Source organism: Homo sapiens, chromosome 5, assembly GCF_000001405.40.
Source record: "Homo sapiens chromosome 5, GRCh38.p14 Primary Assembly".
Lineage (NCBI taxonomy): Eukaryota > Metazoa > Chordata > Mammalia > Primates > Hominidae > Homo > Homo sapiens.
In genome coordinates this window covers 60,613,081-60,636,132 of record NC_000005.10, presented here as the reverse complement: position 1 = coordinate 60,636,132, position 23,052 = coordinate 60,613,081, and the positions used below count along the sequence as shown (strand labels likewise).

General features: G+C 39.6%; 1 protein-coding gene and 1 pseudogene across 8 annotated transcripts in view; one reads left to right on the top strand and one right to left on the bottom strand.

Moving 5' to 3' along the window:
* Window positions 1-23,052, top strand: part of DEPDC1B (DEP domain containing 1B) — a 103,255-nt gene that overhangs the window by 64,034 nt on the left and 16,169 nt on the right. For 2 of the 8 annotated variants that reach the window (XM_011543510.4, XM_047417370.1), the window contains exon 8: window positions 4,615-6,200. The exons of 4 other annotated variants lie outside the window; for them this stretch is intronic. In XM_011543510.4, coding sequence (XP_011541812.1) covers window positions 4,615-4,760 — 146 coding nt within the window. In that variant the 3' untranslated portion in view covers window positions 4,761-6,200. Of the gene's footprint in view, window positions 1-4,614; window positions 6,201-6,852; window positions 7,920-23,052 lie in introns of those variants that run through there. 2 more of the 8 variants (XR_007058609.1, XR_948274.4) reach the window with 2 other exon arrangements.
* Window positions 5,160-5,619, bottom strand: CAB39P1 (calcium binding protein 39 pseudogene 1; annotated as a pseudogene).

Here is a 23,052-nt window from a genome sequence, read left to right as displayed (position 1 = left end):
TGAATGTGGTGATTGAGATAGAGTAGCATTCTTTACTCACACTCCATACCCAACCTAGAGTCTGTTGAGATGTGTAGCATGCAATAATTTGGCATATTGAGGAAAGGAGGGAGGCAGATAGGAAGCAGAAAAGGCTACAGGAGCAGGGTAGACTGTTTTGGAAAATTGAGTGACTTGTAGGCTGTATAATCTGAGAACCCACACTGTTCATCTGTAGGCCAAATATGGCCCACATAAATTCACCATGAAAACGTCTGATTTGACCTGTGTTTTTAAAAAGAGAATTTAATTAAATTGCCAATCCTTAAGAAATGGGAGATTCACATCAGAATTCATATTTCTGTTTTTTTAAAAAAAATTTAGAAGATCTGGCAGCCCTGGGCTTGAATTTTTGGTGATACAAACTGCTGCAGCTGCATAGTGAGTGCTCCCACTAGAAGCAGCAAGTGTTCAAGGAGCGTGAACTCCAATTTGCCAAATCTCTAATACTCCTCATGCTTCTCAGACTCTGAAGCCAAGTTCACTTGACTCTCTTCACTTATTTATTTCATTTGTCTGCTCCCGTAGGCAGTTGAGCTTGCAACTCCTGGTTTATTTGTTAGGAGGCTGGAATACTGAGATAATAGCTCTTTGCTGTTCCCTTTCTCCTAAATGTTAAATATAGAAAATGCCATAGACATTCACTAGATTGATTATGCACTGGATCATTTAACTCAATAGGTTGAGATCTTCGCCTGTGATTTTTAACCTAGAAACATCCTTAAGGTTAGGGTTTCCATTCATTGGTTCTTTTGTCTAGTGACTTCAAGGAGACCCTCTGGAGCAGTGAAATCTTTGCCTTATTACCTCTCTGCCCTTATGTTCTTCAAGTTATGTCAGGGTCCCTATCCCATGGTAATTCTTAAGGGAAAACAATTTTTTTTTGTTTTGTTTTTTTGCAGAGAGTGCCTAGTTTGTGTGCTTGACCAGACAGAGGGCTTTTGCCCATGTTAGTCCAAAGTTCTTGCCAATGGTGCTATCTGCTCTCAGAGCCCAGGGCTTATGGCCGGAGTTTTTTTTTTTTTTTTTCTCTTGAGATGGAGTTTCGCTCTTGTTGCCCAGGCTGGAGTGCAATGGCGCAATCTCAGCTCACCGCAACCTCCATCTTCTGGGTTCAAGTGATTCTTTTGCCTCAGCCTCCTGAGTAGCTGGGATTACAGGCATGCACCACCATGCCCAGCTAATTTTGTATTGGCTGGAGCTTTTAAAGATGCAGATGGGCCAAGGTAAGGATGTTGAATTACCTCAAAACATAATGACTGTTGCTGCCTACCAAGATTGTCAGAATAAAGTGGAGTTAGGTACTCATTAAAGGTGGAAATTTAGGGAAATGCCTAGGTATTACCTGGCTGTAACTAAATACACAAGCTATTTATTTATTTATTTTTATATTTATTTATTTATTTATTTATTTATTTTTTTGAGACAGAGTCTCACTGTGTTGCCCAGGCTGGAGTGCAGTGGCATGATCTCGGCTCACTGCAAGCTCCCTCTCCTGGGTTCACACCATTCTCCTGCCTCAGCCTCTCGAGTAGCTGGGACTACAGGCACCCACCACCATGCCCAGCTAATTTTTTGTATTTTTAGTAGAGGCGGGGTTTCACCGTGTTAGCCAGGATGGTCTCGATCTCCTAATCTCGTGATCCGCCCGCCTCGGCCTCCCAAAATGCTGGGATTACAGGCATGAGCCACTGTGCCCGGCCTATTTGTTTTTATTTTTTAAGAGCATTTGGAATGATTTATTTCCAAGATTCACGATTGCAGATAATGTATGGTCAGCAAGTGGTTGCAAAGGAAGTCTGCTGTATGTGTCTGACTTGGAAGGAAAAAACACTGATAAGACAGTGGGTTCTTTGGCTTCCTCATTCAGACCATGCATGCCAGTGCTTCTGTTTCCTCCTTCTTGGCCCTTGCTTGGTGTCTAGGCAGATTAAATTCTTAGAAGGGTACTGGTCACCCAGAGATTGCAGATGTGCAAAAGTTGGCTTTTAAAGTTTAGCGTCCCATAATTGGATTTTTCACTGCTGCAGACTCTACTGCATGCCACTCTCTGCCATTTGCCTATACCTGTCCATGGTTGCCTCTTCTGCATTTTCCTTGGTAGTAGCTTTAAGTCTCTGTCTCACACACCCAACATTGTGCTTCCTGGATTTGTGGGTATAATTTGCGAATGTAAAGGGGTGCCCTGTACTATCTATTTCTGAGGCATAGTTTCAAATAAAATGGTATTTTATAGCCTGCATTAATGTGAAATTACTTTCAATTAGGATTCTGAGTAATTTACACATAATGTTTGTAAAGTGAAGGAAAAATGTCAAGCATTTCACTAACAAATGAAAGCAAAGCTCACAAGTCTCTGCCAGAAATGAATTCCAAGAACACTTTCTTTATCATTTCTCTTTTCAGCTCACAAATCTACAGGCTGGTGATTTAGCCTGGGCAGCTCTTCAGGTCTCAGCTGGGCTCACTCCCAGGACTGCAGGCTATTGGTAGGGGCCTCCCAGGTCTGGAGGTTGGCTGGGGTGACTCAGTTCTGCTCCACATGTCTCCCTCCAGCAGGCCAACCCTGGCATGTTCTCACGGTGAAGGCAGAGCTTCTATTGGAGTACTTGCCTACAGCTACTCTTTTTTCCCAAGCCTCCAGCATAGCTTTCTTGTGTGCTTCCCAAGTCTACTTCACAGTTTCTCCACAAGAATCCAGTCATTTTACATGGAGTAGAGAGAGAGTCTTGCAGATCCTCTCCTTGGCCAGAGGAAGTCACCAGAGTAAGGAAGGAGAGAAGAGGCAAGGAAGGCAGCAGGGCCAGCTCCTCTTGTTAAAGTGTGAACACTAACTGAACAGTACCTACCATAGAGAAGGCAGGAGAGTAACTTCAGGGGTAAGGAGTCCAGGCTCTAGAGAGAAGCAGACATGGATTCCAGTCCTGGCTTCTGCACTCACTGTGGGCAAGTTATCCCCTAGCCTCAGATTCTTCAGAAGTGAAATGGCATAATGCTATTAACTATTGCCTTAAGGCCTTTGTGAAGTTCAGATACACACAAAGAGCTTGGCACAGCAGCTGGCACACAGCAGGCACTCAAGGAAATGATTGTGGTAGTACTTAGGTGAGGGCATAATGCAGGTTTTAAAAGGAATCTCCCAGCCTGTGGCTTATTCTGCTGGCGTCAGGACAAGGACAGGGACAGACATTTCCCCTGACTTCTCTTCACTTCCAGAAGTCCACTGGCAACTTGCCTCAGTCTCCTGTCCCCAACACCACCACAGCCACCTAAAATCCCAGACCTGGATGCTGCATTATCCCCACAGCTGTGGAGGTCTCCATTCCCCAGGCTGGCTTATATAAAGTGGTACCAGGGACCCAGCCTAGAGGGACCCCTGCTAGTTTGCCAGTGGTCCCTGGTGGTCACATGTCCAAGGCCCTGGGTGCTGAGCACTTCGGAGGCCATGGGCCCTTGAAGCAAGGCCTGTGCTGGGCACTGCAGAAGGCAGAGGCCAGGTCGGAGTAGCCACTGCTGTCCAGCTTTGGTCTTGTGGGGGCAGATGCACCCATGGCTCTTAGGCAGGAGCTGGATATTCTGGGCAAAGTTCCGTGTGGCCGCTGGGCCTGACTTCGCAGAGGGGGCGCTCTGGCCAGATGGGTGGAGGTTGCAGGATTTGGGGCTGAGTGGGACCAGGCTCCAATCAAGGCAGGTGGCCTGGCTTGCTGCTCAGTTTGCAGCAGCCGCCTTTCCCCAGCGTGCCTGTGGTGGTGGCATCAATGATCCTAGCACCTGGGATGATGCCTGGCAGCCGATTTGGGGTGAGGAGTGGCTTCCAGGACACGGGCATGGAGTGCTCCAGCCAAGCATTGCCATCGCCGTGGCCCTGTGTGCTCTGAGTGGCCTGGGCTGCCCCGACAGATGGCCTTTTAGTGCCCCTGGTGCCCCAGGTTCAGGCAGAGGGCACAGTGCCCAGGCATGCAGTCTCATAGTGAATTAATGAAACAGCAACAAAATAGACAAATTGTTCCACTGGTCCTTTATATAGGTTATTTCCAACAGCTTTGGAGAGTGAGGGTGTCTCTTCATCCTCATCAGCACAGGACATCATTCATGTTGAACAGTTTTGACATTACGTACACCAGGAATGGGTTTAGTGTATGGGGAGATTCCCAGGATAGCCAGAATGGTTAGAAAAATGGCAAAGTTCAGATAGTGTGCCCCACTTATTAACTTAGGACAGCCACTAGCCACCAACCAGTTTTCTGTTCTGTGGATGAACTCTGTGATCCTATGAATAAGGCTGACCACAATTTCAGTGAGACCCTAGAACCCTGTGTTGATTGACTATTTTATAGTAGATGGCAAGGAGGAAAATAGCTATAATTGGAGGCCCTGTACTGAGCAATTTATTCTATGTAATAGAAGAGTGGCCCATTTGGAGATATCTGTGCTAATAGGACCCATATGATGCAAATGAGACTTATCAGGATGAGAAATAACCTGGAGAGTCCTCCTCATCACTTATCCTTTCCAGAATCCACTTGCTTTCCCTGGCAGTTGATGATATATTGCCAGTGCCTTCTTCCTTTTCAGATCTGGTTTCCACATGGTCCTTGCAGGGAGCTGGAGAGTCCTCCCCATCACTTATGCTCTCCAGAATCCACTCTGGGTCACATGAAGTTGACAACGTGTGGGAACATGTCATTTCCCTGAGAAGAAATCTTCCTCATTTCTGCTGAGAAGATCCTCAGGAGCAGCTGATGAGTCTTCGTCGTTACAGCTGCCCTCATAGATGATGTCCAGGGGCTAATCATATTCATTGATTCTTGAGGCTGCCATTGTCTTTCATGGGACCTTTTCCAATGCCCAGTAATGAGGAAGCTGTTCCAATATTTCCTCAATGGGAAGGTTTTCACTTGCTTTTGAGTCTACCTTGACCTCAAATAAGGTCTCCTCCTCTGACCTGTCATCTGGAGGCTCCTCCACCAGGTCTTCAGCCTGAGCTTCAATGAATTGTTCCCCAGGGTGTATTCTGTTATGTGACCAGATGTGGATTTTTTTCACCCACTGCTTGGCGTGGGCAGCGGATCTTCTGGACCACTGAAGACACATTCTCATATTCTCAAGGCAAAATTCTGAAGAAATCATAAAACTGTTCCCACCACAAAATGTTCTTTGTAGGTGGTTCATGTCTGATGCATTCTTCTAACATTATCCACAATGTAGAGGTATTTCTGGAGGTTCACACCCTTTCAATAACAGGAGCACAATATTCTGCTAGGTACAGATGTCTTCAGCAGTAGGAGTTCTTGCGCTCATTTGTCTTCTGAGAATATTGTTGAAAATTTGAACATGTCTTTTTGATTCTCAAAGTCAGCAAGCTGTGGATCAGCTCCTAAGTGCTAAAGAGCCCACAGTTGCAGAGTTCCTGAGTGGGTTGAGTGCAGTTTCAGTCTGTGGCTGGTTTTTATTTGTGCTTGCAGAATTTCTTTCATGGCAACCAGAGTTTTGGAAACTTCTAAAGGCTTTTCTGCTTCTTTGTTTTGTTTTGTTTTGGTTTTTGGTTAGAAATGCCTTTCTTTCCAGAACAGCCATGCTTTTCAGGGCCTGCACAGTGCCTGTTGCAGATGTGCAAGGCATCCCAAGAGGAAGCAAAGCCCTCACTGCTTGGTGGGGCCAGGTTGCCTGCTCTTGGTCTCCATGTCCTCCCTTTCCCCGTCCAAGGCCGTCACTGGCTTGGGCTGCTCCGTTGGTCCTTGCAGCCGTGCCGAGCGCACATCTCCTGATAGCTCCTACTCTGGGCAAGGAGCTGACTCGGCAGTGGACAAATTGAGGCAACCAAATAATAAACACAAATGGATAGTCAACACATTTTTTGAAAGAACATCTGAAAGACAAAATGGGGAATGGCGAGTCTGTCTAATAAACCATTTTGAGAAAACTGGATATTCATATAAAGAAGTATAAAGAGGACTGTTATGTTGCACAATACACAAAAATCAACTCAAAATAAATTAATGACCTAAACTTAATATCAGAAATGATGAAACTTTTAAAAGAAAACATAGGGTGAATGTATGTTTAGGGAAACTCAAATTTATGTTCACAGGTTGCAAAAAGAAAAATATGAGAAAAACATAGAGGAAAATGATTCTGCCAATAAAGTGAGTTGGAAATAATTTTTCTGTTTTCACAAAAATCATTGCTAACAAAAGCAAAAACAAGTGTGGGACTATAGAAAACTGATGAGCTTCTGCATAGGAAAGAAAAGAATGAACCAATACAGAAGGCATCCAGTAGATTGGGACAAAATTATGGGGGATTATATATCTGAAAGGGTTGTTATCTAACATGTATAAGAAATTACCACTACTAAGTAGGAAAAACAACAACACAAAACAACAAATAACCAGATGGAAATTGGGCAAAGAACCTGAATAGATGTTTCTGAATAGAAGACATGAATTTGACTACCAGGTAAAAGAAAAGGTTCTCAACATACCTAATCATCAAGAAAATGTACATTAAAACTCACTGAGATATCTTCTCCACTCTAATTGGAATTAATGTTACAAAAAAGAAACAAATTTTTTACAATGAAATGATCAGTGTGGAGTTGGATGAAGGGGTACTATTACACTACTACACAGTGTAGGGTGGAATTTAAGTCAGTATACACACTATGAAAAATAGTTGGAGTTTGCTCAAAAAATAAAATACAACTATCATTTGCTGTAGTAATCCCACCACTGAATATACATTTTAAGAAAATGAAATCAGTATATTGAAGAGATACGTGAAATCCTACATTTCTTGACACATTATTCACAGCACTCAAGATGTGGAATCAACCTACCTGTCCAGGAACAGATGAAGAGATAAAGAAAATGCAGTGTGTATACACAGTGGAATGCTCTTCACCATAAAAAATTCACGGAATCATGTCATTGCAGCAACATGGTGGACAATGTAAGAAAAGCTCCCCGGAGAAGCTGTACAGAAGCTGCCTCCTCAGCAGTCAGGGCCAGGTACCGGAGCTGTTTTTACCCCAGGACAGGGCCGGCCCCAAGTCATCCCAGAGCTGCCATGGCACCCCCTCAGTCGGGTCCTGAGGAATCCTACACAAGCTACTTATATCAGTGATCACTAGGATAATCCATAGAACTTTTGGGAAAGAAGTTTAAGACCTTTCTCCCACCATTTCAGCAGGATAAATTCCAACTGGATTAGAAAATGAAATGTTAATAATGCAAATAAGTACATATTTATATCTGTATATAAAATACAGTTGATATTTGCCTGGTGTTTAGGTGTCTAAAGGACTTTCTAAGCATAAAAGCAAAAAAAAGTCATAAAAATGCTATAGCAGTTTGAGACTCTATGCAGGAAAGGGCATCATCACGTGCATGGATGAATCTGTATCTAATTTTAAACAATTTCCAATGGTGCCTGTTTCCTTTTCTTTGAAAATCTCTGGAGAAATAGTTCCTCTTGCTGTGTCTTTCTTTAGGCAAGAATTTTTACTAATTGATGTGTAGTCTGAATCCTGGCTAAGTATAAACCTTTTATTTTTTATACCTGTTCTTAGTGAAAATGAAACTGTGACTTTTTTTTTAATTCCTTTTGTTGGTCAAAAACTACAATTAACTCTTCTGAGTTTCTTCTCTGGCTGAACAAACAATGGTCCCATTGGCCTTTCAGGGAACTCCAGGCCGTCTCAAAAACCTTCATGTTTCATTTCTTTTCAGAGCTCCCAAAAAGAATAGCTTGCTCTTGACGTTGTACATGTTAGTGGAATGATCAGGACTACTTTGCAAAGATGAAAAATTTGTGTTTCTAGTGATTTGAAAATAGAAATCTGATGTAACTATTAGATATTGGGAAAGAAGGTGACGAAGGTAGGTATCACCGAAAGCACTTAACAATTCTGAATAATTCTGTACTTGATTGCATTTATGTGTATCATAGGAACAGTTGGGTTTCCTTGAGTGTTAAATTATTTATTCACTTATTCCACTTCAAGCCAGCTAAATGATTGTTTCCCTGATGGCAAAAGTCTCAGATTGATTGCACAGTTTATTTGGTTGGATTGTTTATGCTCTTTTTATTATTTATTCTTATTTCACCAATGAAAATATCACTAAGTTCTTTGGTTTGTTGACCTGATTGTACCTACTTTGACAAATCACTGCCTTTCTGGACCCAGTTTTCTCATTAAGTGGCAGTGATAACCTGTCATACTTACAGATATAAAAACATGAAAGTTAAAGTATTGGGTAATACTTTCCTCCTATCTTTTTTTTATTTTGAAAAAGATAAAAAATTGGCATAATGTATTAGTTAAGATGGAATAATCATATGTTGATATCCAGCCATTTCTTCTCTCAAATGATAGGAAGATTTTTATGTGAAACTACTTGTGAGAGATCTTAACAATTTGTAGTTAGAGAAAGCACTATTATATCATTTGGAAATGCAAGAAACAAGTTACCTTTGGGGCAACAGAGGCCCTTGTCATTTTCTCAAAAGAAGGAAGCATCAGCATTTTGATGATGATGTTGAGATTGTAGAAATGATGAAGGTGAAAAAGTTATTCTAGCTTATGTTTAGCAAAATGAAATGAACCCAAATAATAAAACAGTTACAACATTGAATCTCTTTGGGAGAAAAAAAAAAGATAGAATGCTAATGTCCTTCAGAACTTCTTAAACCAGAACCTTAAAAAAAAGAGAAGCTTTTAAAAAATCATAATAGTTTATGATCTTGAAGGGTTTAAAAGTATTTGATGAAGATGTCTTTTGAATTTATTTGTAGGTCTTCTTGTGTATTTAAAAGCTAAGTTATCTTGTAATCATTTTTTTCTATACCTTTGTCAGTAACCTCTTAGTGATGAAATAAAAAAGATTAGGTAATCATCCAGCAATGGGGAAGAAGTTAAGGAACAAAGAGCTCAGATTAAACTAGTTTTTAGAATCTAAGCATTTCTGCATGAATTTGAATCATGGAAAACAAAATGTAGCACTCCAACATTTGATGCAAAACTAAAAGTGGAATACTGCTTTGATATTTGAATGAATTGAAAAATAATTAACATCCTTGGAACTGTATGTAAAGAAGGACTTCACAAGTATTATAGATACCCCCAACCTCAGCCCTTTTCCCATGTATCTCTTTGATCACATCCCTACCTCATAGATCACCCATGTGCTGAAGACTTTCAGTTCTGTATGTTCATTCTAGATCTCCTGAACTCAAGATCAGAATATCTTTCTGACTTCTGACTGTGTATTTCTGGATGTTATACAAGAACCTCAGCTCAAACTCAGTATTCCCTAAACCATTGTTTTTGAAACTTTATGTTGGATGTGAAATCTGTATTGTAGAATAACATTAAAAAAAGAAAGAATAGTATGCAAAATATCAGAGTGCATTGTATGTAGCAAGAGTAGGTATTTTCGTAAACTTTTTGTTTTAATTAAACACATATATATTTATTATTGCAGTGTAAAATGTATTTCTTAATTTGGATAAGTGTTAGTGAGGATGTGGATAAATTGGAACTCTTGTACATTACTGGTGGGACTATAAAATGGCACTGCCGTTTGGTAAAACAGTTTGGCAGTTCCTCAAAAAGTTAAACATACAGTTAACATGTGATATAGAAATTTCACTTTTAGATGTACACCCAAAAGAATTGAGAACATATGTTCACACAGCAACTTGTACACAAATGTTCATAGCAGCATTACTCAGAAGAGCCAAAAAGTGGAAACAACTGAAATGTCCATCAAGTGATGAAGCAGTAAAATGTAGTATATCCGTACAATGAAATATTCAGCCATAAAAAGGAATGCAATGTTGTTGCATGCTACAACAACTTGGATGAATCTTGGAAACATTATTCTAAGTAAAAGATTCCATTTTTATGAAATGTCCAGAATAGGCAAATCTATAGAGACAAAGATAAGTGGTTTCCAGGGGTTGTGGGGAGGAGAGAATGGGAAGGTGACAAAATGTTCTGGATTAGATAATAGGGATGGGTATAACTTAGTGACTATACAAAAAAAATCACTAGAATCATATACTTTAAAAAAGATATTCCCATAAAAAAAAGAACAAGCAAGAAAAAATAACTAAATTTGACTTTAGGAGTTAAAAAGAATATAGTATCTCAAATGAAAATTTTGCTGGATAGGATTAGGGGTAGATTAGACACTCCAGAAGTTAAAGATCAGTGAGCTTGAATACACACAATAGAAGCTAGTCTAAACAAAGCACAGAGAGAAAAAAGAACAAAACAAACCTCCCACAACAAAACAAAACAAAAGCCAACCAAAAATACAGCCTCAATGACCTATGGGAAATATTTAGCAGTCTAATATACATGTAATTGGAATCCCTGAAGGAGGAGGGGGGTAGAATGTATCTTTTTTTGTCCCCTATGACTGCTGTTAAGATTTTATTATTGATTTTTAGGAATTGCATTATATCTTGGTGTGGTTGTTTAAACAGAGGTATAGCTTATCAACCAATGGTGGAGCTAAAATAGAATACTTGAAAGTACTTATGGATGCACAGAATCTAAGATGGCCCCCAATTTTCCTGCTACCTTGTACCCTTGAGTATATGTGGGACCTGTTACTTGCTTCTAACCAATAAAATCTCACACCAGTTAGAATGGTGATTATTAAAAAGTCAGGAAACAACGGATGCTGGAGAGGATGTGGAAAAATAGGAACGCTTTTACACTGTTGGTGGAAGTGTAAATTAGCTCAGCCATTGTGGAAGACAGTGGCAATTCCTCAAGGATCTAGAACTAGAAATACCATTTGACCCAGCCATCCCGTTACTGGGTATATAACCAGAGGATTATAAATCATTCTACTATAAAGACACATGCACACGTATGTTTATTGCGGCACTGTTCACAATAGCAAAGACTCGGAACCAACCCAAATGTCCATCAGTGATAGACTGGATGAAGACAATGTAGCACATATACACCAGGGAATACTATGCAGCTATAAAAAATGACGAGTTCATGTCCTTTGCAGGGACATGGATGAAGCTGGAAACCATCATTCTCAGCAAACTATCACAAGAACAGAAAACCAAACACCACATCTTCTCACTCATAAGTGGCAGTTGAACAATGAGAACACATGGACACAAGGCAGGGAACATCACACACCGGGGCCTGTGTGGGGGGTCGGGGGCAGGGGGAGGGATAGCATTAGGAGAAATACCTAATGTAGTTGACATTACTTTGGTTTGACATTACTTTGGTTTGTGGGTGCCACAAACCACCATGGCACATGTATACCTGTGTTACAAACCTGCACGTTCTGTACATGTACCCCAGAACTTAAAGTATAATAATAATAAAATAACATGTATGTCAAGGGTGACATGTAATTAAGCAAAGCTCAGTAAATTTAAAATGATTGAAATTGTACTAAGTTTTCTGACCACGCTAGAATTAAGCTAGAACTCCAGGTCCAGATGGCTTACTGATCAATTTTACCCAACACTTTGGAATGAATAATGACATTTGTATGAAAGTCCTTTCAGAAAATAGAAGATGAGGGAATATTTCCTGAACCATTTTATGAGGCCAGTATTGACATGGGTAATAAAACCAACAAATACATTACACAAAAAAATTGTAGCACATGATATCCCTGATAAAACCAAATGCAAAAATACATTAAATTTGCAAATTGAATGCAGCAGTAGATAAAAAGGACAATAATACATCATGGCCAAGTAGGGTTTATCCCAGCAAGGTAAGACTGGTTTAACATCTAAAATCAATCAGTATAATTCATCATATCGATAGGATGAAGGAAAAAAACTCATGTGACCATCTCAACGATTGCAGAAAATGTATGTGACAATATTCAACACCCATTAATGATAAAAATGTTAAATACATTACAATAGAAGAAAACTTCCTCAGCCTTATCAAGGGTACCTGTGAGAAAATTATGGATAACATTTTTCTTAATGGTGGTAGACTGAATGCTTTCCCCTATGGTCAGAAAAAGACAAAACTCATCACTGCTATACAACATTTCATGAGAGGTCAGCAGTGCTTTCATGCCTTAAAGGCATGAAAATGAAATAAGTGATTTAAGATTGGAAAGAAGAACTAAAACTACGTTTGCTGATATCAAAAATCCCAAGAAATCTGCCCCCAAAAAGCACTTATGAATTAATAATTAAACTTAACAAGGAAGCAGGATATAAGACCACTGTATAAAAATCAATTGGAAAACTAAAACAAAACCCCAAAAAACCCAACCTAATAATCTGTTTCCAATAACACCAAAAAACATGGAATACTCAGGGATGAATTATAAGTAGGGATAAACAAGGTGTGTGCAAGACCTGACAATGAAAACTATTAAATGTTGTTGAGAGGAACTAAGGATGACTTAAATAACTGGAGAGACATACTATGTTCATGGACTGAAAGATATGCAATATTGATAAGATGTCAATTCTTCCAAAATTGATACATGGATTATTTAGCTTGGTAAAAATCCAAGCTTTTTTTTGTAGAGTTTTCAAGCATTTTGTAAAATTTATTTGGAAATACAAATAATCTGAATAGCCAAAACAATGTGGAGAAAAGGAGAAAAAATTAGAGAACTTACATTACCTGTTTTTAAGACTTACTATAAAATCTTACTTTCAGGTGTGGTATTGGTATCTTACTGTAAAGTCTTCCTGTAAAGTATATTGATATTTAGTGTGGTGTTGGCATAAGGATAGATATTTAGGCCTATGGAATAGAATAGAGGGTCCAATAGTAGATTCATGTATCTGTAGTCAAGTGATTTTCAGCAAAGAAGCCAAGGGAAGGGATCATCTTTTCAGGGTAGTGTTGGAACAACTGGATATCTATTATGGAAAAAGTGAACCTTTATACTGTATACTGTATGCACTCAAATTTTACTTTGGACTGGATCACAGATTCAAATATAATAGAGATATCTAAAAACCTTCCAAAAGAAAGTATAGGAGAAAAATTCTTGCAATTTTGCATAGACAAAGATATCTTAGTTCCTAGAAAACATAACCATAAAATAAAAATTACATCAAATAGACTTCATCAAAATTGGAAATTTCTGCTCTTTGAAATATACTGTTAAGAAAATGAAAAGACAAGAAAATTCCCATTACATAGCTCACAAAATACTTATAACTAGGATATGTAGAGAACACTTCAATACTAAGACAATGCAATAAAAAAACAAAAAAACTGGACACAACAAGAATATATATGAAATACTCATAAGCACATGAAAAGATTATTAACATCATTAATCATACAGGAAATGCAGATTAAAACCACAATGAGATACTACCATGTACACACTAAAATGGCTAAAGCCAAAGACACTGACATAAATTTTTGGTGAGTGTGGGGCTCCTGGAGCCCTCAGACATTGCTGATAGGACTGTGAAATGACACAGCCACTTTGGAAAATGAGTTCATCATTTCTAACTAAGTTAAACATACACATACCTTAATTTCATTCCTAGGTATTTATCTAAGGGATAAGAACACATGTGTTCACACAAATTGTGTGGTGTTCATAGCAGCTTTATTCATAATATCAAAACATTGGAAACAATCTACATGTCTATCAGCAAGTGAATGGAAAAATATTTTGTAGTATATCCATGCAATGAAATATTACCCAGCAATAAAAATAAACTATGGGTACATACAACAATATAAATGAATCTCAAAAATATGCCGAGTGATAAAAGCCATTCTGGTTCCATTTACATGAAATTCTAGGAAAGGGGAATCTATGGAGGCAGAAAGCAGGTCAGAGGTTGCTTTGGTCTAGGGGATCGAGAGGCCTTACTGCCAAACAGCACCAGTAGATTCTTTGGGGGGGCGGAAGAGTTTTATATTTTCATTGTTGTGCTGTTTACATGGGGATATGCATTTGTCAAAACTCACTGAGCTCTACATTTAAAATGGGTACATTTTTGTAGTATTTTAATTATAAATCAAAATTGAACAAAAAAGTAACACATGTTATTTGAGGACTTTTTTTTTTAAAGCATCATGTTTTATTTTTATTTTTTGCAGACAAGGGTTTTATTTAATATAACTCATAAATTACATTGCCAATATCCTAAAGGTAATAAAGAAGTCAAAAGCACTATTTGTGAAAATCAGTATATCATATGACGGTAAGCATAGTTGCTATTCACCAAAAACGTTCAGAAAACATTTGAATTCATTGTCTGAAAGAGCTTAGGCTCAAGACTTGAATTACTAAGAAAAGAAAGTAGTATATAATTATACAAAGATGAGTAATAACCAAAAACTGTTCTTTAATGCATGTTTGTTTTTCCTGAAAGCCATTTCTTTCTTTTTTTCTTTTAATACTTTAAGTTCTAGGGTATACTTTAAGTTCTAGGGTACATGTGCACAACATGCAGATTTGTTACATATGTATACATGAGCCATGTTGGTGTGCTGCACCCATTAAGTCGACATTTACATTAGGTGTGTCTCCTAATGCTATCCCTCCCCACTCCCCCTACCCCAGGACAGGCCCCGGTGTGTTATATTCCCCTTTCTGTGTTCAAGTGTTCTCATTGTTCAATGAGTGAGAATATGAGGTGTTTGGTTTTTTGTCCCTGCGATAGTTTGCTGAGAATAATGGTTTCCAGCTTCATCCATGTCCCTACAAAGGACATGAACTCATCCTTTTTTATGGCTGCATAGTATTCCATGGTGTATATGTGCCACATTTTATTTTTATTTTTATTATTTTTATTTTTAAAATTTTATTATTATACTTTAAGTTAGTGTACATGTGCACAACATGCAGGTTTGTTACATATGTATATATGTGCCATGTTGGTGTGCTGCACCCATTAACTCGTCATTTAACATTAGATATATCTCCTAATGCTATCCCTCCCCCTACCCCCACCCCACAACAGTCCCCGGTGTGTGATGTTCCCCTTCCTGTGTCAATGTGTTCTCATTGTTCAATTCCCACCTATGAGTGGCAACATGTGGTGTTTGGTTTTTTGTCCTTGAGATAGTTTGCTGAGAATGATGGTTTCCAGTTTCATCCATGTCCCTACAAAGCACATGAACTCATTATTTTTCATGGCTGCATAGTATTCCGTGGTGTATAGTGCCACATTTTCTTAATCCAGTCTATCACTGATGGACATTTGGGTTGGTTCCAAGTCTTTGCTATTGTGAATAGTGCCTCAATAAACATACGTGTGCATGTGTCTTTATAGCAGCATGATTTATAATCCTTTGTGTATATACCCAGTAATGGGATGGCTGGGTCAAATGGTATTTCTAGTTCTAGATCCTTGAGGAATCGCCACACTGTCTTCCACAATGGTTGAACCAGTTTACAGTCCCACCAACAGTGTAAAAGCATTCCTATTTCTCCACATCCTCTCCAGCACCTGTTGTTTCCTGACTTTTTAATGATCGCCATTCTAACTGGTGTGAGATGGTATCTCATTGTGGTTTTGATTTGCATTTCTCTGATGGCCAGTGATGGTGAGCATTTTTTCATGTGTCTTTTGGCTGCATAAATGTCTTCTTTTGAGAAGTGTCTGTTCATATCCTTCGCCTACTTGTTGATGGGGTTGTTTGTTTTTTTCTTGTAAATTTGTTCGAGTTCATTGTAGATTCTGGATATTAGCCCTTTGTCAGATGAATAGATTGTGAAAATTTTCTCCCATCCTGTAGGTTGCTTGTTCACTCTGATGGTAGTTGCTTTTGCTGTGCAGAAGCTCTTTAGTTTAATTAGATCCTGTTTGTCAATTTTGGCTTTTGTTGCCTTGCTTTTGGTGTTTTAGACATGAAGTCCTTGCCCATGCCTATGTCCTGAATGGTATTGCCTAGGTTTTCTTCTAGGGTTTTTATGGTTTTAGGTCTAGCATTTAAGTCTTTAATCCATCTTGAATTAATTTTTGTATAAGGTGTAAGGAAGGGATCTAGTTTCAGCTTTCTACATATGGCTAGCCAGTTTTCCCAGCACCATTTATTAAATAGGGAATCATTTCCCCATTTCTTGTTTTTGTCAGGTTTGTCAAAGATCAGGTAGTTGTAGATATGTGGCATTATTTCTGAGGGCTCTGTTCTGTTCCATTGGTCTATATCTCTGTTTTGGTACCAGTACCATGCTGTTTTGGTGACTGTAGCCTTGTAGTATAGTTTGAAGTCAGGTACCGTGATGCCTCCAGCTTTGTTCTTTTGGCTTAGGATTGATTTGGTAATGCGGGCTCTTGTTTGGTTCCATATGAACTTTAAAGTAGTTTTTTCCAATTCTGTAAAGAAAGTCATTGGTAGCTTGATGGGGATGGCATTGAATCTATAAATTACCTTGGGCAGTATGGCCATTTTCACAATATTGATTCTTCCTACCCATGAGCATGGAATGTTCCTCCATTTGTTTGTATCCTCTTTTATTTCCTTGAGCAGTGGTTTGTAGTTCTCCTTGAAGAGGTCCTTCACATCCCTTGTAAGTTGGATTCCTAGGTATTTTATTCTGTTTGAAGCAATTGTGAATGGGAGTTCACTCGTGATTTGGCTCTCTGTTTGTCTGTTATTGGTGTATAAGAATGCTTGTGATTTTTGCACATTGATTTTGTATCCTGAGACTTTGCTGAAGTTGCTTATGAGCTTAAGGAGATTTTGGGCTGAGACGATGGGGTTTTCTAGATATACAATCATGTCATCTGCAAACAGGGACAATTTGACTTCCTCTTTTCCTAATCGAATACCCTTTATTTCCTTCTCCTTCCTGATTGCCTTGGCAAGAACTTCCAACACTATGTTGAATAGGAGTGGTGAGAGAGGACATCCCTGTCTTGTGCCAGTTTTCAAAGGGAATGCTTCCAGTTTTTGCCCATTCAGTATGATATTGGCTGTGGGTTTGTCATAAATAGCTCTTATTATTTGGAGATACATCCCATGAATACCTAATTTATTGAGAGTTTTTAGCATGAAGGGCTGTTGAAATTTGTCAAAGGCCTTTTCTGCATGTATTGAGATAATCATGTGGTTTTTGTCTTTGGTTCTGTTTATATGCTGGATTACGTTTATTGATTTTCATATGTTGAACCAGCCTTGCATCCCAGGGATGAAGCCCACTTGATTATGGTGGATCAGCTTTTTGATGTGCTGCTGGATTCGGTTTGCCAGTACTTTATTGAGGATTTGTTCATTGATGTACATCAGGGATATTAGTGTAAAATTCTCTTTTTTTGTTGTGTCTCTGCCAGGCTTTGGTATCAGGATGATGCTGGCCTCATCAAATGAGTTAGGGAGGATTCCCTCTTTTTCTATTGATTGGAATAGTTTCAGAAGGAATGGTACCAGCTCCTCCTTGTACCTGTGGTAGAATTTGGCTGTGAATCCGTCTGGTCCTGGACTTTTATTGGTTGGTAAGCTATTAATTATTGCCTCAATTTCAGAGCCTGTTATTGGTCTATTCAGAGATTCAACTTCTTCCTGGTTTAGTTTTGGGAGAGTGTATGTATCGAGGAATTTATCCATTTCTTCCAGATTTTCTAGTTCATTTTCATAGAGGTGTTTATAGTATTCTCTGATGGTAGTTTGTATTTCTGTGGGATAGGTGGTGATATCCCCTTTATCATTTTTTATTGCATCTATTTGATTCTTCTCTCTTTTCTTCTTTATTAGTCTTGCTAGCAGTCTATCAATTTTGTTGATCTTTTCAAGAAACCAGCTCCTGGATTCATTGATTTTTTGAAGGGTTTTTTGTGTCTCTATTTCCTTCAGTTCTGCTCTGATCTTAGTTATTTCTTGCCTTCTGTTGGCTTTTGAATGTGTTTGCTCTTGCTTCTCTAGTTCTTTTAATTGTGATGTTAGGGTGTCATTTTAGATCTTTCCTGCTTTCTCTTGTGGACATTCAGTGCAATAAATTTCCCACTACAAACTACTTTGAATGTGTCCCAGAGATTCTGGTATGTTTTGTCTTTGTTCTCATTGGTTTCAAAGAATATCTTTATTTCTGCCTTCATTTTGTTATGTACCCAGTAGTCATTTAGGAGCAGGTTGTTCAATTTCCATGTAGTCGAGCGGTTTTGAGTGAGTTTCTTAATCCTGAGTTCTAGTTTGATTGCACTGTGGTCTAAGAGACAGTCTGTCATAATTTCTGTTCTTTTACATTTGCTGAGGAGTGCTTTACTTCCAACTATGTGGTCAGTTTTGGAATAGGAGTGGTGTGGTGCTGAGAAGAATGTATATTCTGTTGCTTTGGGGTGGAGAGTTCTGTAGATGTCTATTAGGTCCACTTGGTGCAGAGCTGAGTTCAGTTCCTGGATATCCTTGTTAACTTTCTGTCATGTGGATCTGTCTAATGTTGACAGTGGGGTGTTGAAGTCTCCCATTATTATTGTGTGGGAGTCTACGTCTCTTAGTAGGTCTCTAAGGACTTGCTTTATGAATCTGGCTGCTCCTGTATTGGGTGCATATATATTTAGGATAGTTAGCTCTTCTTGTTGAATTGATCCCTTTATCATTATGTAATGGCCTTCTTTGTCTCTTTTGACCTTTGTTGGTTTAAAGTCTGTTTTATCAGAGACTAGGATTGCAACCCCTGCCTTATTTTGTTTTCCATTTGCTTCGCAGATCTTCCTCCATCCCTTTAATTTGAGCCTATGTGTGTCTCTGCATGTGAGATGGGTTTCCTGAATACAGCACACTGATGAGTCTTGACTCTTTATCCAATTTGCCAGTTTGGGTCTTTTAATTGGAGCATTTAGCCCATTTACATTTAAGGTTAATATTGTTACGTGTGAATTTGATCCTGTCATTATGATGTTAGCTGGTTAATTTGCCTGTTAGTTGATGCAGTTTCTTCCTAGCCTCGATGGTCTTTACAATTTGGCATGATTTTGCAGTGGCTGGTACCGTATGTTCCTTTCCATGTTTAGTGCTTCCTTCAGGAGCTCTTTTAGGGCAGGCCTGGTGGTGACAAAATCTCTCAGCATTTGCTTGTCTGTAAAGGATTTTATTTCTCCTTCACTTATGAAGCTTAGTTTGGCTGGATATGAAATTCTGGGTTGAAAATTCTTTCCTTCAGGAATGTTGAATATTGGTCCCCACTCTCTTCCGGCTTGTAGGGTTTCTGCCGAGAGATCAGCTGTTAGTCTAATGGGCTTCCCTTTGTGGGTAACCTGACCTTTCTCTCTGGCTGCCCTTAACATTTTTTCCTTCATTTCAACTTTGGTGAATCTGACAATTATGTGTCTTGGAGTTGCTCTTCTTGAGGAGTATCTTTGTGGCGTTCTCTGTATTTCCTGAATTTGAATGTTGGCCTGCCTTGCTAGATTGGAGAAGTTCTCCTGGATAATATCCTGAAGAGTTTTTTCCAACTTGGTTCCATTCTCCCCGTCACTTTCAGGTACACCAATCAGATATAGATTTGGTCTTTTCACATAGTCCCATATTTCTTGGAGGCTTTGTTCGTTTCTTTTTATTCTTTTTTCTGTAAACTTCTCGCTTCATTTCATTCATTTGATCTTCCATCACTGATACCCTTCCTTCCATTTGATCGAATCAGCAACTGAGGCTTGTGCATTCATCATGTAGTTCTTGTGCTGTGGTTTTCAGCTTCATCTGGTCCTTTAAGGACTTCTCTGCATTGGTTATTCTAGTTAGCCGTTCGTCTGATTTTTTTTCAAGGTTTTTAACTTCTTTGCCATGGGTTCGAACTTCCTCCTTTACCTCAGAGTAGTTTGATCATCTGAAGCCTTCTGCTCTCAACTCGTCAAAGTCATTCTCCATCCAGCTTTGTTCTGTTGCTGCTGAGGAGCTGCGTTCCTTTGGAGGAGGAGAGGTGCTCTGATTTTTAGAGTTTCCAGTTTTTCTGCTCTGTTTTTCCCCCATCTTTGTGGTTTTATTTACCTTTGGTCTTTGATGATGGTGACGTACAGATGGGGTTTTGGTGTGGATGTCCTTTCTGTTTGTTAGTTTTCCTTCTAACAGTTAGGACCCTCAGCTGCAGGTCTGTTGGTGTTTGCTGGAGGTCCACTCCAGACCCTGTTTGCCTGGGTATCAGCAGCAGAGGCTGCAGAACAGCAGATATTGGTGAACAGCAAATGTTGCTGCCTGATCGTTCCTTTGGAAGTTTTTTCTCAGAGGAGTACCCGGCCATGTGAGGTGTCATTCAGCCCCTACTGCGGGGTGCCTCCCAGTTAAGCTACTCGGGAGTCAGGGACCCACTTGAGGAGGCAGTCTGTCCATTCTCAGATCTCAAGCTGCGTGCTGGGAGAACCACTACTCTCTTCAAGGCTGTCAGACAGTGACATTTAAGTCTGCAGAGGTTATTGCTCCCTTTTGTTTGGCTATGCCCTGCCCCCAGAGGTGGAGTCTACAGAGGCAGGCAGGCCTCCTTGAGCTGCAGTGGGCTCCACCCAGTTCAAGCTTCCCGGCTGCTTTACCTACTCAAGCCTGGGCAATGGTGGGCGCCCCTCCCCCAGCCTGGCTGCCACCTTGCAGTTTGATCTCAGACTGCTGTGCTAGCAATGAGCAAGGCTCCGTGGGCGTAGGACCCTCCGAGCCAGGCACGGGATATAATCTCCTGGTGTGCCATTTGCTAAGACTGTTGGAAAAGTGCAGTATTAGGGTGAGAGTGACCCGATTTTCCAGGTGCCGTCTGTCACCCCTTTCTTTGACTAGGAAAGGGAATTCCCTGACCCCTTGTGCTTCCCAGGTGAGGCGATGCGTCACCATTCTTTGGCTCACGCTTGGTGTGCTGCACCCACTGTCCTGCACCCACTGTCCGACACTCCCCAGTGAGATGAACCCGTTATGTCAGTTGGAAATGCAGAAATCACCCGTCTTCTGCGTTGCTCACGCTGGGCACTGTAGACTGGAGCTGTTCCTATTTGGCCATCTTGGTTCCATCCCCCCTACTTTTGAGATTTTAAACTTGGGATGCCTTTGATTCATTTTATTCAAGTATTAATTTGAGTAAAAAGTCATGTATGTGCATGAAGTATTAGCTGCAGTGGTGGTTTTGTTCTTCATAACTTTGCTCATAATAGCTTTGTTTATTTATTTATTCATTTATTTATTTTTGAGACAGGGTCTTGCTCTGTCACCCAGGCTGTAGTGCAGTGACATGATCTTGGCTGACAGCAACCTCTGCTTCCCAGGTTCAAGTGATTCTCCTGTCTCTGCCTCCTGAGTAGCTGGAATTACAGGCATGTGCCACCATGCCTGGCTATGTTTTGTATTTTTAGTAGAGACAGGGTTTTGCCATGTTGGCCAGGCTGGTCTCGAACTCCTGACCTCAGGTGATCCACCCGCCTTGGCTGCCCAAAGTGCTGGGATTACAGGCATCAGCCACCATGCCTGGCCTGCTAATAATAACTTTAAAAAACCTAACATTTCATATTTTGATAAATAAATGCAGTACTCATATCCAGTTGAAAGGGAAATACAACATTATTTAATAAACATATTACATCTAAATATTAAAAAATTCCTATCATATGATAAATTAAAAAAAAGAGAAGAGATTAAGCAGGGGCTTAGAAACATAAACAAATATAAACAAACTTTACAAAACTGAATGGATTAGCAGGGTGTTGGGGCACATGCTTGTAGTTCCATCTCCTTGGAAGGCTGAAGCAGAAGGATCCCTTGAACCTAGCCCAGGCAATAAAGCAAGACCCTGTCTCTTAAACAAAACAAAACACAAAACAAAACAGAGACAATTGGAGGAAGACAGAAACTAGAAAGAAAGTGTAAAAAAATAAAAACACCCCAAAACTCACAGAAATTAAAGTGATTTTTAAAAGTTGGGTTGTTTATTTGTTAACTATGAGCATGACCGCTCTACAGTCAGAAAAGATAAAATCAAGGCTCAGATGGGGAAACGCATGGTGCTGCTTTTAGAACCATGCTCAGAAAGATTTGGTGGAGTTTAAACAAACAAGTTCAGACTTCTGTTGCCCTCTTTTATAGGAGTGAAAGAGAAAGGAAGGAAAGATTTACAAAGGTGTAAATCCCTTTCATCCCCTGGACCACAGAGGTGTAGCAGAGAATGGTTCCTGTAAGACTTGAAAACTGAAAGTACAACATAGGTGCAATTTGTGACTAAGTATCACTGGTACAAAGAACTTAACTGATTGAAATATATCAATAAGTAATCTCTTGGGTGGTCATACAGGAATGCTTAAAACCTCAGACCCAATTAATGGCAAAACAATGACCCTACATCTGTTTTTTATGTATACACACACACACACACACACACACACACACACACACACACAAATACATATGTAACAACCTTTTTTCATGGACTGTCTTAGTTCATCTCATTTTGAGGAAATAGTTGTTGAATGACTTCTGTGTGTTTCTGTGACATTGTATTAAGTATTCAAATACAGACTTAAAAAAGTAACTTCCTCTTATGGCTATTATATTTTAATATTCCTGAGGCAGATCATTATCGATTACCTGTCAGTCTCCTTGGGGTTTCCATGATATCCCCTTGACACATCTCTATTGTTGTCTTCCACATTGCTTTGTGATGGCTTCTGTTCGTTCATCTTCTTCTCCAGACTGTGAGCTTCTTGATAACAAGATCTTTGTCTCACTGTTTTGGGATTCTCAGATCTTAGCACAGTCCTAGAACATTTTATGCTCTTTTCAAACCTTCGTTGAATGAATACATTAATGATTCTCAAGTATATATTTCAAGTGTTGACCTGTCCCCTAAATTCCAGAGCTGCTATCATCATCTTCCTGTTGAATATTTCCATGAGTCTACTATCTTTCACAAACCCAAACTGCTTCTCTTCCGTGACAAATCAGCAGCCCCTTCTGGCTCCACTGTTTTTGAAGTAGGCCCCCTTAAAGCTGAAGATTCACAGTTTATTTGTCCATAGTTGCCCTATCTTAGCACCCTATTTTAAAATGTGTTTTTGTTATGCAGACTTTGTAAGGGTCAAATCATGGCCTTCAAATCGATTTAGAGA